The 18,564-nt window shown below is 42.4% G+C and overlaps 1 protein-coding gene across 3 annotated transcripts in view, besides 3 other annotated features; it reads right to left on the reverse strand.

Annotated features, from left to right (window-relative positions):
- Window positions 1–16,701, reverse strand: part of COLGALT2 (collagen beta(1-O)galactosyltransferase 2) — a 108,067-nt gene extending 91,366 nt beyond the window's left edge. For 2 of the 3 annotated variants that reach the window (NM_001303420.2, NM_015101.4), the window contains exon 1: window positions 16,068–16,701. In NM_001303420.2, coding sequence (NP_001290349.1) covers window positions 16,068–16,330 — 263 coding nt within the window. In that variant the 5' untranslated portion in view covers window positions 16,331–16,701. The remainder of the gene's footprint in view (window positions 1–16,067) is intronic. The other variant, NM_001303421.2, reaches the window with a different exon arrangement.
- Window positions 3,834–4,573: an enhancer, noted in NCBI's record as "OCT4-NANOG-H3K4me1 hESC enhancer chr1:183993995-183994734 (GRCh37/hg19 assembly coordinates)". NCBI's record gives its function as "activates a minimal SCP1, AML or CMV promoter by ChIP-STARR-seq in naive and primed H9 embryonic stem cells {active_cell/tissue: H9 hESC(naive and primed)}" and the evidence as "EXISTENCE:reporter gene assay evidence [ECO:0000049][PMID:30033119]".
- Window positions 10,388–10,682: a silencer, noted in NCBI's record as "tiled region #12313; K562 Repressive DNase matched - State 5:Enh". NCBI's record gives its function as "represses a minimal TATA promoter and a strong SV40 promoter by Sharpr-MPRA in K562 cells {active_cell/tissue: K562}" and the evidence as "EXISTENCE:reporter gene assay evidence [ECO:0000049][PMID:27701403]".
- Window positions 16,424–16,513: a silencer, noted in NCBI's record as "silent region_1636". NCBI's record gives its function as "represses an Ori minimal core promoter by ATAC-STARR-seq in GM12878 lymphoblastoid cells {active_cell/tissue: GM12878}" and the evidence as "EXISTENCE:reporter gene assay evidence [ECO:0000049][PMID:35858748]".
- Window positions 16,702–18,564: the final 1,863 nt, after the last annotated feature.

Raw genomic sequence — 18,564 nt, forward strand, 5'->3', positions numbered from 1 at the left:
GTCACAGGATCTCACTTCTGCCTATCCTGTCAAGTCACATGATTCAGCATGGCACGAGACTATAGGAGTGAATACCAGGAGGCAAGGATCACTGGGTCCATCGGGAGAGGTTGGTGCTGTTACAGTTCACTGTTTTTAAAAAGCAAGCCTTTGAGGTTCCAAAACCTTGTATTTTTATACACTACTTCAACATTTAAAGGACTTGAAAAAACTCATTAAAGCTTTCTACTTTTCTAAGACATTTGAAGAAAGTATGAATTTCTTTTTAGTGACTTATATGGTTTGAATGTGTCCCCCAAAGTTCATGTGTTGGAAACTTGATCCCCAATGTGGTAACGTTGGGAGGTGGGACATTCAAGAGGTAAGTGGGACTTGAGCTCTGCCCTCATGAGTGGACTACTATTGTTATTGAATGAGGGGGTTTGTTATCATGAGAGCGAGTTCCTTATAAAAGGACAAGTTTGGCCTCTCTTGTTCTCTCTCACCCTTTCTTGCCCTACCACCATAGAATGATGTAGCAAAAAGGCCGTCGCCAGATGCCAGCCCCTCAATTTTGGACTCCCAGCCTCCAGAACCATGAGCCAGTGAATTCTGTTCATTATAAATTATTACCCAGTCTGTGGTATTCTATTATAGCAGCACAAAACAGACTAAGACAGTGACAGAATAAATGAAAAGAATAATAAAATGACTACTGCCCCCTTCACTATGTATTTAATAACAAGTTACTGGTTTTGTTTTACTATCTATTTAGTTGAGAATGTGCAGCACTCAAGCTCTTTGAATGTCAAAGTGGGATTAATGCCAAGTGCAGACAAAGCTGGGAGGAGTTTGAACAAGTATTTGGAAGCAAGTCCCCAGACAGGATTTGCAGCCCATGTCTCTTTTGAGACAATGACATATGCAATTCTTCTACCAAAAATGATCTCACTTGTTAACAGTTGATTGTTCAGGGGTCTGGAAAGGATACTGTATTATTCTGGCAGCCAGAGTAAACTTGGGGCAGGCTGTAGCCATGTGTAACCCTTATCGTCTTAGGGCTCAAAAACTAAGGAAGGCAAATATATTTGTAAAGTTGCTGAAGACAAGAGTTATCTGTCTGGATTTTTTAAGTCATAATCATTCTGTACAAGGTGAAAGGAAGAACACCTTCTCCCAATTATTTCAGATAAGACAGTTGAATTTCTACTACAATGACTAAAACTAATTACGTGAATAAATAAATAGATCAATCCATCAATAAATTAACTAAGGAGCCTGAAGAAAGTATTAATTTCTTTTTAGTGACTCCTCTGGCTTGAATGTGTCCTCCAAAGTTCATGTGTTGGAAACTTGATCCCCAATGTGAGAAGCCTTAAGATTTACCTAGAAAAATGCCTGTTTGGAAACACAGAAAGAAAATAATTAGAAGGGAGAAAATGGAGCCAAACAAACGATGTTAGTACAAGTAGGAGTGAAATTTAAATAAAAATGAGAACTCTAAATTCACTCCAAAAAATCAATTCAGGAGAAATTATTTCAGAAGGTAAAACACAGAGTATGGTTCTTCTGCTCCTTTGACATCAAAATAATAAGGGAAACTGTTGCTTTCTGGCTCAAAGCTATAGAACACAAAGGCAATTTGTTATCTAATACTTGACAACTGATATATAGCTTAGGGGAAGCAACACTAAATCTCAGATACTCTATTACAAAGAAGAGAGAGAAAAGCTTCAAAATCTGTTTTGCCTCAGGGCAGAAATCGTTTCACCCTCAGTCCATTAAATCACATTGACTATGATATCAAAGTGAAAACTCATTAGGGCATTTTATGCTTTCATGCTTGAGCCCTAGTGTTACCAATGCACCCAAGAGAAACCTTCCTTAAGAAACTCAAAACAGCTGGCACCACATTTCAGGGAAACAAGGCAGCTGGCCTACAGCTGGAGAGTATCAGCTGAATAGCCAAGACTGGAGAGGGATGAGGGAGTCAGCCAAAGAGCAGTATTTTCTCGAGATAATTCTGATCTAGCAGAAGGATGTGCTTTTTTATTTATTAGTTATAGCTTGGAAAGGGAAGCGTTTGATTTTAGAAACTAAACCCCTAGTGTAAGTCAAAGAGTTACTAAGGGGAAGACTCCTTGAAAAAGAAAGTTTTTGCCTTCTTGATTTTGACTTTTCTGTAGCATATAAACTCAAACTCAGGAGACAAGTGATTTTCAGTCTCCCATATCTCTACTTCCTTTGACTTTTGTTTTGCTCCTAAAGTGTCAGCAAGGAGGGAGGTAGCCCCAACCAGCTTCATGTTACAAGGACCTTTCATGGCACTCATGCTTTTGGCCTCTGAAGGCATTGCCAATGTTTAGTATTTCTATATAATGACACTACTGTGAAGTAAAGCCTTTCCATAGGAGGAGCTATCACTTCAGTGTGATAATCCACTAGCTTGGTGAGACTTGAATTCCAACTGGCAGGTTCTTCTAACCTCCAAAGTGCAAATGCAGGCTGCTTTCCTTACACAGCAGACTGAGCAAAAAACACCAGTAACTTTTGCAAATAACAAACACACATATCGTTTCCCATCACAATGGCAAATGTCAAACTGCTGTTTTTGCTTTTTCCAAAAGTGCGTGAGGTGGGGGGGGGGGGCGGTGCCGGAAGCATTCTAGGGAAGACTTGCACTTACTTATTTTGCATATATGATAAAATTAAATCTAACCAAATACCTGCAACACGTACACTTATGCTGCAAATATTCCACTCCTAGTGGAGTCAACAGCAATAGATTTCCTAGTTTTCAGACCTGGAACTATCTCCTCTGACATAGTTCTGACATAATTCTCTGGGCTTTTTTTCTTCTCATCACAGCCTTTTTTTGCTTCTGTTGTTCATGAAAAAAGATAGCATTTTCACTCAGGTTAGAGGGCAAATAAGTTTTTACAATTTTTATATAGATATGAATCATCAGTCTAATCACCAAGGATTTGAGACATGGATAAGTCAAAACTACAGAAGAAGTCAAATCTAAGTAAAAATAAAGGAAAAAAGCTCAAAATGCCATCTTAAATAATGTGGCAATAGCGTGAGTTGTTTCATTTTTCATGGCATTAGTGGTGGAACTTCAAATACATAGCATGTGGTGGCTAGAAAAGTCTTGAAAGATTAGCCTATGCAACCCTCATTGTACAGGTAGGAGGGCAAGGCAAGGCAAAGAATTCAAGAAAATTTGAAAATACAGTGGTACATGACATAGACAATGCAAAAGAGCAGTTAAGAAATCAGATATTACTGGTACTGGAATGCTCTGTATGGAATGTTGCTGAATACCTTTCAGCTTTTTTCTTTTTCTTTTTCTTTTTTTTTTTTGACAGAGTGTTACTCTGTCGCCCAGGCTGGAGTGCAGTGGCATGATCTCGGCTCACTGCAACCTTCATCTCCTGGGTTCAAGTGATTCTCCTGCCTCAGCCTCCCGAGTAGCTGAGATTACAGGTGCCCATCACCACACCCGGCTAATTTTTGTATTTTAGTAGAGATGGGGTTTCACCATGTTGGTCAGATTGGTCTCAAACTCTTGACCTTGGTGTTCTGCCTGCCTTGGCCTCCCAAAGTTCTGGGTTTACAGGCGTGAGCCACCACACCCAGCCTCAGCTTTTTTTTTTTTTTTTTTCTGAGCAGAGATAAAAATTAGGCTCCGTTCTCTAAACATACAAGTATCAGGCAACACAGAGACAGAGATACAGCTCAAGGGTTTGTTGGATGATTGGACCAAGCTGACCTGTTATCAAAACTGGCTTCTACATATCCAACATACTGACAATCCATGCATAGACAACTGATAGTTCTACTACTGCTGTTATTTTGATAAGATGCATGGGAAAATGAGGTCTTGGGCCTCACAAGAAGATTATCAGTAGCAAAGTCTGGCCAATGGGCTTGGAGGTTCCATGCTTTCCAGAGGGACACTTAATAATCTGCCTCTCATAGGGCAAGGAGAGTTCAGCAAATATTAGGGAGTTACTGCCCTTTCCACTTTAGACAAACACCAGCAGTTCCCCTTTAGTTCAATGGTATTCGCACAGGCGTTATGAAAGCTGTTAAGATTCAGAACCATTGTCAGAGGACTTGGCAGAATGTAACCTAATCTTTTCTGACTGAGAGACAGAAAACTGGCCCAAAAGTGGGGCTATAACCTTCAGTCACCTGCTGGCATTGCTGCCATCTGATGCCTAAGAAATGAGGATCCAGTGTGTCTTTGATGCCCGTCAAAGCTTTGAAGCTGGGTCAAGACCAGGGGACAAAGGCAGCACTGTTTATGCAAATCTGGAAACAAAAGAAGCTAATCTCCAAAGCCATCAGAAGTAACATCAGAAATTCAATACCCAGAGAGGATTAGAGGCCCTAGACCAGTATGAAATAGGAAACCTAAAAGCAAAGCTGGGCAACACACCAAAACACATACTGTAGGAAGGAATCCTGAGCTGGCCAGAGCCTGGCTAGATGTGCTCAGAAGTCTTGATATATGCAGCTCCCTTAGTCAAGAGGCAACCATCTGTGTGCCAAAGGAAGGACCTCCTGGGCAGCTGCTGCTTCTCTACCTGGTGCACACAGCTCCTTCATAAGAAGGTCTAATATATGCCATTGCAAGGCTAGCTCTCATGTTGCCACTTTCCTTGGGAGTTCAGTCATCATCAAGCACGTGCCTTCCCAAGGAGACAACACTCTTAGCAAACACCTTTCGCACAGTATAAAACAGGATAAAATACCACGAGCTTCCTAGAAAAGGATTTTTTAAAGCCATCCCCCAGAGATCTAAAGTTGGGCTGAGGGTCCAGGAAGCATCGATTATGCAGTTATGTGAACATTCTTCAGATATGGTTATCCCCATGAAGAGGAAAGTGTTAGGTCAGGAAAGGACTCAGAGAACATCTCATCTAGAGATTTTTAAGCAAGACTGCATATTACCACCCTTTGGGAAGTTTTCAAAATACGTCAATTGCCCTGGATCATCAAATGATTCCAATAAGTGGCTGCATTTGAAAAGCACAATTTTAGCACATTTCCCTTATGTTACAGGAGAAACTAAGTGACTTGCTCAAAGCAGCCTAGCATGAGCAATGCTTCCAAGACCTTTCACAGGACAACACAGATAGCGTATTTGCACACTAGGGAAAAATGAAAGACGCTGCTTTTGGCTAGAGGAAACTGTCCTGGAGACCCCACTGCCACCAGCCTCACTTCATCTCCAGGTGATTGTTATTTTCTTGGTGGGATGTGCTAAGCTGTGGTATGCAGTTCACATTTTTGAGAAGGATAAAAGATACAAAAATAAAGTGGATGCATAAACTTAAGAACTTTATTGTAGAATTTTTGCCCTGTCACCAAAAGAGCACAAGAAAATAGGGTATGGAACCATATAAGACTTAACAACTGAGTTGCAATCTTCCCCACAGGAGGCTGCTGTACATGCAGTTATAATAATGCTGCTATATCAACTTCTTAAAAAATATTTGTTGTGCAGCAGCAACAAACTCAGAACAATCCTCTGTATAGCAGAACAGAACTGTGTGAATTTCTAAAAAGCCATATTTTGAGTTCATAGCTAGTGAAGACACCAGGGTTAGGGACTTTGTAATATCATGTAATTAAGGCTGAACTGCCAGCTACTAAAAACAGGCTAATTTAGTAGACTGTTTACATTTGTCACAAATGAGGGGAGGAATTTTTAATGGTATGCCAACGGGAAAAATCTAAGAAAATTAAATACAAGAAACAAAGAAACCAAGATTAGGGTATATAAGGACTGAAGTGGCTCAAATGAATTCTACTTAGTTTAAAGAAATGCACTGGTTTGATTTCCCTGTACTCTAAGATGTTCATTAGTAGGTATTTTTTCTTCTGCAATACTAAAGGCTTAATGAACTCATTGTGTAAGATACACTGAAGAAAGAATGTGAGGGAGTGTCGTTTTATACTGAGCCCCAGTGCAAGGAGCTTCATACAGTGGGTAAAACATTTGGGGCATTGTCTTTTAAAAAATCTTTTTAAAAAAATAGTCACTATTAGATGGAGATGGAACATATGTGCTTGACTTAATAATAATAACAAAAAAACACAAATGATGCATGCCTGGCTGGGTTTCTCCTATGTAATCCTGTACATTACTACTTCTCTTAATAAGAAAACCCCTTGGTCTTTTTGATGGCTTAAGCATCTGGAATCTGAAGTTTAGAATATTCCAGAGTATGCCAACTTTCCAAACTCTGAAAATCCCATGATCTGTACTTTAAGTGCATACATAGCCTTCTAGGAGCTCATCTTCTGCAGTTCCCAAACCAAGAAGAAGTGCATCCAAATCACTTATGTACATGCTTAACACACCAATTCCTAGGACCCCGCTGTGGACCATCTGATGAATGTGACTGAAATGGGCCCCAGAAATCCATGTATCTAACAAATGCTCCAGGTATTGTGATGCAACTGGCCTCTGAACCTGTATTTGGGAAACACTAGTTGAATCCAGCAGCCTTACACTAAAGGGTTGGCAGAACAATGGTAAGGACCATGTCCACTCATGGACAATGAACTAGACCAATGGGGACAAGTCACTTTTAGGCCACCTCAATTACTAATTTCAACATGATTACCTGGATTTATCCACATAGACAATCAGTGATGGTGGAATAAATAAAAGGATGTAACATTTTAAAAATCCATTGTTTTAGAAATCCATAGTTTGTCTTGCTAAATAAAAAGCTTACAATGGAAACCAACGTACCCAATAAATTTTATTAAAATCTAACAAGATTGAGGAAAGGCAGAGAAGAGGCTTGTACTTTTCTAAAATATTTTCGTATGCTGGCTGTTTCAAGCCTTACATGCCAATTCCACAAAATCCATTTGCAACACAAGAGATGGTCTGACTGTCTGAATACTCTCCCGCCCAACCTGTTTCTAGCACAAGGAAAGCAGTGGCGTGGAAGCTGCATATAAGCTTACTGTTCAATGGTGCAGTGATGACATGAAAAATCCTGATTCCACTTGGCAGCAACTTTCCACTATCTTGGCGGGTGTAAACCATAATCATTGTGGTGTGTGGTGCTGAGACAGGATTATGGGGCTGGCTGGCAACCAAGAAACTAAAAAACAGTCTATTAGTCCAGCAAGGGACTCCGTGTCGGGAATGCTATGGCCCCAAATGTCTACAACCACACTTTTCACAACTATCCCAAGAATTTAAGTTCTACTGTTAGTCTCTAGAAAATTCTACCTTTCCCAAGACTCTAAAATGCAGCAGTTTCTCACTTAATATGGCTTTCAGGGAGAACACCAATCAATGTACCTCCACAGACTCTCCTGTCTTAGAGTTATGTCTCTCTCTTGTGAGAATGAGATACTTGCCTTCACCACTGCCCTCCCCATCTCCAAAACATATACAATCACTCTCAGAAAGAAAAGGGACTGGAAAGAAACAGTCCTACTTCCCTCTTGGCAGCAATTGTATGCACTTTGGGCTTGGCAGTCCAAATGGGGAAAGCTCTATGTAAGGAACCTCCTCTCTGCAGCCTGATGTATCCCTCAATAGGTCTTGAAGTGATTCAACCTGGAAGGTAATGAACTATTCCAATAAAGCCAATGTGTGAATGAAATCAGGTACTCATGAAAATGCTTCAGCTCAGCAGCTTGTCCCAGACTCATCTTCTACCATACTCTTGGGGGTATACAGCCCAAGATCACTATTCTAAGATCATTATTTATGTTATTATTTGTGTTTCTGAAAGACATATCTTCTAAGATGTCTTCAAACATTAATCAGAAAACACTGGAGGGAAGGAGATTATTTTGCATTATGTTTGCAGAGGAACAAAATCTTATCAGTTAAACCAACAAGTCAGGGGACAGGCCTTAGCTTGCTGAATTTGACAAACAACTAAAATAATAATTGTTGCTTCAATTAAGTGAAACACGTTACAAAGTCAGCCCTAGCAAGATGTCATGGAGCTATTATTCAAAGTCTAACTCTGAAAGGATTTCTGTATGGTGCTCCTAGAGAGGAAAAGAAACGCCCTGCAGCCAAATCTGAGGTTTAATTCATGCAAGAGACTTGGCTAATGCCACCTACCACAAATGCTGCATTTTCACGGATCTGAACTACAGAAAGTTCCAGCAAATTAATTACAGCCACTCTATTTATATTCTACCTGACTTTTCAATTATTACCTATAATGAGATTTTTATTTTTATGAACATTAATGCACAGCTTTCCTACCAGAGGAGTAGAGAGCTAAGGGAAAAGTAATACAATCCTGATCCTTTTACCACTAGGTCACTCGCTGGCAGCTTGCCAAGCCTGCTGGTTCCCCAAAGTAGTTACTGCTTGGGTCCTAGGGTTCCTTCAGCAGCCTGAGGTGGGAGCAAAGCTCACCACCCAAATGTCAACATGGGTCAGGCAAGTCAAGTCAAAGAAAGACAGCGGGGACTAACTGCAAGTGCACACAGTGTGGGTCTGATGGGGACTGGGCTGCCTGGACAAAATCCAGGGGACAGCAGCTACTCAGCTCCAACAATAGTTGCTGTGTATGAATCCAGGCCTGGCAAGGTCAGGTGCTGGTTACATGGCATGTTTTGTCTGTGAAAAGTTACCAAGTTATACATTTATGATATATGAACTTTTGGATAAATATTACACCTCATCAAAAAGTTTTTTTTATTAGGGCCAGACCTTCTAGAGGCCAGAGAGACAAGGACAAGAGAGCAGGACGGGTGTTATCAGAGAGGCCTTCAGAGTACCTGCCTGGAACAGGTGTTATATGAAGCTGGCTTTTATTGTGCCACCCAGGGCATGGCTGTAGATAGGCTGGCAGTGTTTAAAGAACATGGGATAGAGAGATGGATTTTAAAATATCACACTTATCCAGAACTGGATATGTAAAACACTCATATTTGGGTTAAAATGAAAAGGATATATGTATATGTATAGAAAGTTTCTAGAAAAATATGAAAGAAAGTGTTAATATTGGTCACTGGCAGGTGGTATAGAGTAGATGGGAGATTTACTTTTTGTGATATTCCCAATCATACTTTTTTTATTACTTTCCCATTTAAAAAAGTCAGAAGAGCAAATTCTTAAAATAACTGAAGTACTATTAAAAATCCATAAAGACCCTAAGGGATTCAAATTTTTAAAAACTAACAATTTTTGATATGCTAACAACATATCAATTAAATGCAATTAAATGAACAAGTCACTCTTTTGAAATAAAAATGTCAAAACATAGAATACATACGTTTTGTAATTCCTGATGAATAATAGCTATAATTTAAACACATATGGTAAAAGTTCTTCATGATATGGTAACTGGGGAATAGGTGTAGTGGCCATACCATAGGCTAATGATTTTCTTTCAGACTTTACTGTATGTTGTTATGCTATGTCAAGAAATATGCAGAAACAAGCCTTATTATTGTCCTACTATAGTCCTATATAAGCCTTATAATGGTCCTACTATACTGTGCCATAGACTTGGAGACGGTGCCACACAGCAATATGACCCAAGTGCACGTTTAAGTGTTGGAAAAAGAACCAAGAGACAACCAGCAGCCTTCTCAGTTACAAGGCATTCATTGTTCATTCCTATGACCACCAGAAACAGACAAGCAAAAGGAACCTAAGAAGCACATGCTTATGTATTTGGAGTCACAAAGAAACTCCCTGGCCTAATCACTTGGATAAAGGAGCTAAAAACAGATCTGAGAAAACCAAACTCTGCTTAAAATACTCCCCATGCTCCTTTAAACCAAGAAGGATATTCATTATAAAATAATCAGCATTAAAACAGCTACACAGGATTAAAAATCTAGAAATCAGTTATCTCATTCCATAATCACCATGGGAATCTCTTAACTGCCCTGTGCTTTAGATGCCTCATCATGGAACTCAATATAATAAAACCAGGGCAACTTAGGCATTCTTACTAATTCTGTAGTTAAGCTGTCATAACTGGAACAACAGGATTGGTGTCATTTATTAGTCACTTCAGTTTTTACCCAGAGGAAATATTCTGAGCTCCAATCATATTTTGAAATTGGAGGTTGCAGGGAGGATTGATAATTTCTTCAATCATTTGGAATGAAGCTGAATTTAGGGGACAACCAAATCTAAGACTACTGATTAAAAAGCCTGAAAAATGGAATCTCTATTTTACCAATATGAACTGAAAATGTAGCCAATACGTGTATGATTAGTGCCACCTTAATCATTTGCCACTAATAATACTTGAGAAATTTCTTTCTACTGTTATGTAGCTATGATCACAGCAAGTGACCTGCATATTTATGTACAACCCACATTTTAGTCATAATCTGTCCCTATGAAATATACCAAAACAGATTAGAGTTCACTAAAAAGTGCCTGAACTAAGTGATGAAATTATCAAGACAGCGGAAGAGAACCACTAAGACCCTTGCATCATTCAAGTGGAAATGACAATTCTTATTTGAAAGAAACACTAGCGTTCTTATCTTCCCAAGTTGGGTCAACCGACAGAAGCAAAAACTAGAACTAATTGGTCTTTTCACAATCTTAAGCAGACCATCTGTACTCGGTCTGCAACATTAGCTGCCTGGGTCACATCCTGGCTCCACCATGCATTAGCCTAGTGACCTCAGGCAAGTTATTTATATTCTCTGTGCCTCGGTTTCCTTCTGTGTAAAGTGATAGAGTAGAATGTAATGGCATCTCCCACCTAGGGTTGTTGTCTGGAGTAAATCAGTTTTGATACCAAAGTGTCTAGAACAGTGCCTCCATGAATGTATCCTTCCTTCCTTCCTTCCTTCCTTCCTTCCTTCCTTCCTTCCTTCCTTAGTTCTTTATTTTTCCCTTCCCTTACCTTTTCCTTTTTCTTTTCTTTTGAGACAGGGTCTCGCTGTGTTGCCCAGGAAGAAGCACAGTGGCTCAATCTCGGCTTGCTGCAACCTCCACCTCCTAGGTTCAAGCAATCCACCCACAGTCTCCCAAGTAGCTGGGACTATAGGTGCATGCCATCGTGCCTGGATGATTTTTACATTTCTTGTAGAGATGGAGTTTCACCATGTTGCCCAGGCTGGTCTTGAACTCCTTGGCTTAAGAAATCTGCCCACCTCGGCCCCCCAAAGTGCTAGGATTACAGGCATGAGCCACTGCATCCAGATAAATGTTAGTTTCCTATACTAATATTTTTTGTTGTTGTTGGAAAGAAGAAACTAAACAAATTTCCATTTGAAGATTTTTTAAAATCTTGATTTTGAAAGGTAAAGGTAAAGGAGATAGGAGAAAAAGGAAAAGATTCAAAAGAAATAGCAACTATCATTGTTAGTAGCATTTATGTAAAAGACACTGTGCATACCTTATATCATTTACTTGTAACAATAACTCTTTGAGACAGGTGTTACTATTAGTTATTTGAAGATAAGGCAGCTATGTCTTAGAGGTTTACTGATGTGCCCACAATCACACAGAAGATTTATGCTCTAGTCTATCTGACCCTAAGCTTGTATATTTCTTCCTCCAACTCTGGTTGATGCCCTCCACGCTAAACTACCAGATTGGGAAAATGAGGAAAGGAGGAAAAAGGTGAGGAAAACAGACTAACAGACAGAAGGGGCCTAAGGCATCATCTGCTTTTTCAGCCATAAACCGAAACTTCTATCTGTAGGGATAACATACAACATTTAATATCAAGAGTGTAATGATAAAATATGACATCATTCTTACCACTGGTGCTGAAAAATGTCACTGATACTAGTTTGGAACAGTTTATAAACACAAAGTATATTAGTATTTCTAGTTAAACAATTATGAAAATGCTACTGATTGGACATTAAAATGTGGAGATAAATTCAAGATAATCCCCAAACAATGCAGAAATAAAGTAGTATGCAAAATGTTAGGACCATCCCCCAGCTCATCACTGTTTATGTTTATGTCAACAGAAGCTCCTCTCTTTATTTAAAAATCCATAAAGCGGTTCCCAATTTAGTATGTTACTTTTCAAAACTCTGCCAAACAAAATGCCCAAATCTTTCTGTAATTACATAGCAGTTACTGCCTTGTGCCTGCACAGACTCTGTGAATCCCAACTGTCTTCCCACAAGCAACAGCAGGCTCTCCAAAAGAAAAACTTAATGTTTCATTTGGGGCAAATGTTTTTCCCTGCGCCATGCTTCGGTTTTCACTGTCATGGTACTTGGCCCCACTCTCCCTAATCATAGGTTTAAGGAGGATGAGGTCAGCCTTCCCTCTGTTGCTAAGGCTACTTGCTCATGGTTCCACTGAATTAAGGAGAACCCACTGAAGTACACTACCACTTGTCACAATGCCTCACAGTTCCCTTCATCTCAGCATATTCCCAATTCCCTAAAACTTAGTGCAGGTTTTAGGACACATGAAATAGATATCTTCCTTAGGTCCTTATCACAGGATTGTGATATTTGAAGGAAAACAATTAGCTTGGTGGATTTTGAGATCAGACAGGTAAATGTAAAAAGCTTTCCTTTTTGCTTATACAAAGTATCTCTAAAATATAAATTTTCCTTTGTTCAGACTAATCTGAATAAACTTGATGCTGACTGAGATAACTGCAGACATTCTTCAACAACAGTATCTTCCAGGTCAATTTGATGATACTCATTTCATCTGTATGTGCAGTGCAGATCTGGTCCAGAACTTAAAGTGAGAAAAATTATCACATAACAGGGGAGTCTGAATGTGATCAATAAGCCAGGTCTCTCACTGACCCATCTGGGACAGAAATCAGATGCTCCTCTAGCCTGTGAGTGGATGAATGAGAAGAGTGAGTCTGCACAGAGTGAGTTATTGTGGTCAGATTCAGAGGAAGCTGAATTCTGTGTGGCTCTGTATTCACTGCGGTTCTATTTTACAAAGTTCTGGGTAGCTCACAGCCATTTTTGACATCAGCATGTGCTGGCTTTGCAGAATGGATACTAATCAGTTTGGCATCTTGGAATGTTGCATAGAGCTTGGGAATGAGAAACTAGAGGCAAGCAATCGGTAGAAGCACCTCAAATCTGTAACATCCTAAACTGAGGTACCACCTCCCATCAGAGTGTTATATCTCATAAGCTTCCCAGCCAAATATTCCCCTAGGGCCAGACCAGAAGTCAGCACTTCCAAAGAGATTCTATGGTACAATACAATCTGTTTGGAGACTTGCAGTCATTAGACCTGCCACCCACTTGAACTCCCTGAGAGAAAACTCTGGTTGATGCCCTATTATCTTTTTTTTTTTTTTTGCTTGTTTTTTGCCTTGCTGATCCCTTTTTCTAGAGCCATCCTTCTTTCCCAGGTTTTAGTTGATTTTTACTCTTCCTTCAAAACTGAGTTCAAACTAAGTGTCCACTCATCAAGAAGACATCCATATCCATACAACTGCCCCAATCTGATTTATAAATCATTTGGTTCTTCCCCAAACCCTTTAAAAGCCATTCAGATCACCTTACACTGCCCAGTAAAATGAATCATATTTATCTGTAAAAAAACACACATATCTAAATACACTTTTTTTCAGCCCTGATCTGGCTGGTTCTTATTTTAAAAAATGCATTAGAAGAATATGCTTGTACAGCCTCTCTGTACCTCAGTTCTCTCACCTGTAAAGTGGTATAATAACAGTGCATATCTGATAGGGTCATTTTGAAGCTTAAACCAGAAAATGAATGTGAAGTTCTTAGAAGAACCACGAGCTCTTATTATTATGTGTGGAATTTATAAATAAATGTAATTTTGAGTAAGTCAATCACTTTAAACACATTTCTTCTTCTGGGAAATAGAGATAATTTTATTTCTTCACAGAATGGCAGTAAGAATCAAATGAGTTAACAGTGCATGGAAGTTATTTCCAAAGGTTCTTTACAGCTCCTTTGTGAGCTGAAAAGAACTATTTAGAAACTGGGATTTGTATTATTGTTACCTAAAGAATTACACAATGTTTTAAAGACAGAACCAAAATTTTTCAAAGAAGAGTCTTCAATGACTGACGCAAGCATGGCCTTGCACTTCTTGCTTAACCTGCCAATGCTGGACATAAAAGACAACAGATTTCAAAGGTCTATGCAGAACTGGAATTCTCTCATCTAAGTAAGACACCAGTGTCCATACCATCTGGAACTTACAGGGAACTTAGGATGTACATTGATGCTGGTTGATCCTAATTATATTGCAAAATCTATGGAATTCAAGAGCCATAAAGAATTTTTGAAATCATTTATTCCAACTCCCTCGTTTTATTGATGAGGCAACTGATGCCTATGGATCCCAAGCAACCAGCCCCAAATCACATATCAAACTAGTAATAAACAACTCAAGTCTCCTAATTTGTAGATTATAGGCTTATGTAAATTTTGTTTATATCATGTTTCCTGCCTTTTTAGGGTGGCCTTGGGTTCAAATTCCAGTTTCACCATTTATTAATTCTGTCACTTTAAGTGACTTACTGAACTGATGCAAGTCTGTCTCTTTCTTTGCAAAATAAACATCATAGCATCCTCTTAAAAGTTTACTGTATGATAAAAAGAGGTAATGTCTCTAAATCAGGTAGCAAAGCATGTGCCTGACACCTGCTTCACCACTCACCAACTTCTTATGGTAAATACTGTAACGTTTTAAAAAACTAAATCATGCATAAAGATCAAAACCATATTTTAAAATATCTCTTAAAAAAAACACAACAACTAAGGTAACTGATATGTGTGAATTTCTTTTGGTACCGAAGTGGTTAAAAAAAAATCCTTCCTTCTGGTTTAAAGCCTGGCTGTCCCAGTGCTCTCTTTCCACATAATATGCCCTTCTCCGCCAGGCGGTCACGTATGGCAGGGTATATAGTAAAGCAGTGTACAGCACAGAGCTGTACTATATCACATGTTTGCTTTCGCACCTTTGCACCTCTCCCACCAGGTACTCTGAGGCTGCCAATTCTAGCTGCTGCTTTTACTCCTCTTCCTCTCTTTGCCCAACCGCTGCTTTAAGGATGTGTCTCGCCTGAGAACAGCTCCCTTTATCAACACAAGACAGAAATTGCTCCAGAGTGACCTGGGCTCTGTCTTCCTCAGGGGGCCAGAGTCTTCTTGTCCGAGTACCTACCTGACAGCACATCTCCCCTGGCCAGCATCCACCTCCTTGTCCTCCACAACCCACTCAGCGGCTAACCTGGCCACCAACTAACTTCTCGCCCTCGGATCCTCGCGTTTATAAAAGGTGCGAGACGACCAAGTTCTACAAGGTGGGGCGGGCAGGCACCCGCACTTATCCCCTGGCCCTCCCCGCAGCAGACACAGGGACCAGGTCCAAGCTTCTTTCCTCCGGGGACAAAACTTGGCTGTTTATCTTTCCCAGGGCATCTTCGTCTCTCCCCGGGACGTGGAACCCCGATGCACCGGCAGGGACAGCCCGGAGCGCTCGCAGGAGACCAGGCCCACGGTGGTGCCATGGTTGGGCACACTCCGCGGGCTCCGCCCAATCTCCACCCCTAGGTCCAGGTCCCCCTAGGAGAGCTAGGAGCACATTTCCAGCCTGGAGCAGGAGCCCGGCACCGGAAAGTCAGAGCAGCGCACTGCGGCGCCCCAGCCACTGCGGAGCCCCTGGCCAACCGCAGTTACGTTCCATCTGTCGTATCTACATGGGAATACGGCGACAGGCACCCTATCCCCTCACGTCAGGGCTAGCAGTATGAGGTGGGGAAAGAGGAAACCTCGAGAGTTAAAAGCGAGGGAACTGAAAGTCCCCTTGAGGGGTGTCCCCCATGCCCCTTGTGGGACAAAGCCCCAATTCGCAGGCTACCCTCCAGAGCTCCAGCGGTCCGGTTCTCCCCATCAGCACCCTCTGCGCACACTGACCCGCGCGTCCCTCCGCAGCCTGACCGCCCGATCCGCCAGCCACCGGCGCGGGCAGCGAGGGGGTGTGTGCGCCAGATTTTCCGCGTGCCCCCCCGCCCCTCCAGCGGCTCCCTCGCCCTGCAGCTGCTGCTCCGGGCGCTGTCCGCGCTGGGCAGGCCGCCCCCGCGTCCCGCCGCGGCGGCCCGGGGCCCGTGCGCGCTCACCAGATGGCCATCCTGCTCTTGGGGTAGTCCAGCCGCTCCAGGCAGCCGAGGAAGTGCGGCAGCGTGTGCGCCGCGTTGCGGGCGAGGACCGCCACGAGCACCGTGGGGCTCTGCAGGGGCGACTCCGGGAAAACCACCGGCTCCTCTCCGTCGTCCTCCGAGTCCCGCTCGGCGACGAAGCGCGCTCGGCAGCCTTCGCGGAGCAGGGCTGAGGAGAGGAGCAGTAGCGACCAGGCGAGGGTGGCAGCAGGGCGCGCAGCCATGTTCCGGGCCGAGGCGGGCGGCGGGGAAGTCCTGGCGCGAGCGCCCGGCTGGGCTGCCTGAGGGCGGCGGCGGCTGCCGGGGAGCAAGGGGCTGCGAGGGGCGGCCGGGGGATGCGGCTTGCCGCGGCCGGCCGGCTCACACACTGGCCTCGGCGGCTGCGGTTCCCAGGACCCTCCCGCCGCCGCTGCACCGCCCAGGCCCCAGTGCGGGTGCGCAGCGTACCTGCAGCCGCTGGCGCTCCCCTGCGCCTCGGGCTCGCAGACAGTAGTGGCCGAGGGGCTGTGTGCCCTGAGTCCTGAGGAAAGTTCCTCTAGTCCAGGTTCCGCTCGTACAGCTGAGGTCTGTGGCCTTCCCTAGAGCCGCGAGTTGTGGCCCTGTCTGCCAATGAGCCTGTGAGTGTGTGTGTGTGTGTGTGTGTGTGTGTGTGTGTGTGTACATAACGGTACAACCCCAAGAAAATTTATTCTGCTTTTGCAAACCGCAGACTGAAGCCCTTCACAGTGATGCAATGTATCCAGTTTTCATAATGCACCTATTGACTGAGTAGAGTTCTAAAATGAAAAGTCTCCCCAACTATTCACGATTATGACAAACACTTGTTTAACCACCGCAAAGGCAGCATGTCGCATTTTCTTATATACTCAACTTCTGAAATTCATTCTTGACTGAGTAGACACCTAATAACACAAAGTTTGAAGACTTGGAGAATTTTGGAGCCAGATCAGACCCCGCAAAATAAAAGAAAGCCCTTGGGAGACACTGTCCTGAAGCCTCACTCTACTGTGAACCCAGTAAGCCTCCTCACAGGAGGGCTGTGAAAGAATAAATTCACTTAGCTGGTTTTCTTTTTCCGTAATAAGCCAATATGATAGAGTAACAAAGAGGGAAAATTCGCGCATGTTGGAGAGCAGAGAAGAGATAAGGAAGAAAAGAAGGGGTGAAGGAAGAACACAATTAGCACATAAAATGAAACTGCTGGCATACACTGCTAAAGGAGATTTACTTTTTTTTTTTTTTTTTTTTTGAGACAGGGCCTCACTCTGTTGCCGGGGCTGGAGTGCAGAGGCACGATCACAATTCACTGCAGCCTCGACCTCCTGGGCTCAAGCAATCCTCCCACCTCAGCCTCCCGAGTAGCTGGGACCACAGGTGTCCATCACCACGCCTAGCTAATTTTTTTTTTTTTTTTTTTTTTTGTAGAGACGGGTTTTCACCATTTTGCCCAGGCTGGTCTGGAACTCCTGGGCTCAAGTGATCTGCCCAACTCGGCCTCCCAAAGTGTTACGATTACAGGCATCAGCCACCATGCTCGGCTGGATATTTAGTTTTGAAGATATATTGTGTAGCCTTTGATAGATAAGTATGGAGGGTGTTTTGGTGCCAGTGCACATTCATGATCTCCAATCCCAACTCACCCTCAGGTCTGTCCCATAGTCTTTTTATTAGTTGTTATCAATCCTTCTCAGCAACTATTAGAAGTCTTCCCTACTGTCTTTTGAAGTATATCACCTCCTTCATCCAGCTCCCCCAACACCACTGTCTCCAACTAGCATCCCTACCAAGACCTTTCTTACTTGCAGGTGCCTCCTCACGACAGGGTCTTTGATCACAGACTAGAAAGGGAGAGGTCTCCCTTTCTAGCCCATGATTTTTCTCTATCATTCCACTCTCTACTGAATCTTCAACTGATCTCTATCAACTCCTTTCTCTCAAGCTAAATACTTGGTCAGTCTTCTCTTATCCGTTAAAAAAAAAAGAAAGAAAAGCTTTAAAAAAAAGTCCTGTGTCTTCTTCTAGTCATCCCTTTGCTTGACCAAGCTCCTTGGAAGAGAGATCTATACTTGTATTCTCCACTTCTTCATCTCCCATCTTTCCCACCACAGTGCAGTAAGGCGTCAGCCCTCCCCACTGTTCTGCAAAACCAACAGATGGCCTCAGCATTGGCAGATTCAGTAAACTCTTCCGTTCTCACCTTCCTGGACTTCGATTACATAATCTCCCATCCTAGATCTCCTCTGATACTACTTGTCTCTGAGCCAAGCCCCTTCACTGTGTGCCTCCCTATAGTGTGCTAGTCTTCCCACTCCATATGGTCTCCTGTGGTTATATCCTCAAAATCTATGTCTTCTGCTCTAATCTCTTCTCTAATCTTCATATTTTTTTATCGAATGGCCTACAGACATTTCCTTCCCCTCCATCCATTTTCAGGAATTGTTCCCACTTTCAAGGGGCT

This window comes from Homo sapiens, chromosome 1 (assembly GCF_000001405.40).
Source record: "Homo sapiens chromosome 1, GRCh38.p14 Primary Assembly".
Taxonomy (NCBI): Eukaryota; Metazoa; Chordata; class Mammalia; order Primates; family Hominidae; genus Homo; species Homo sapiens.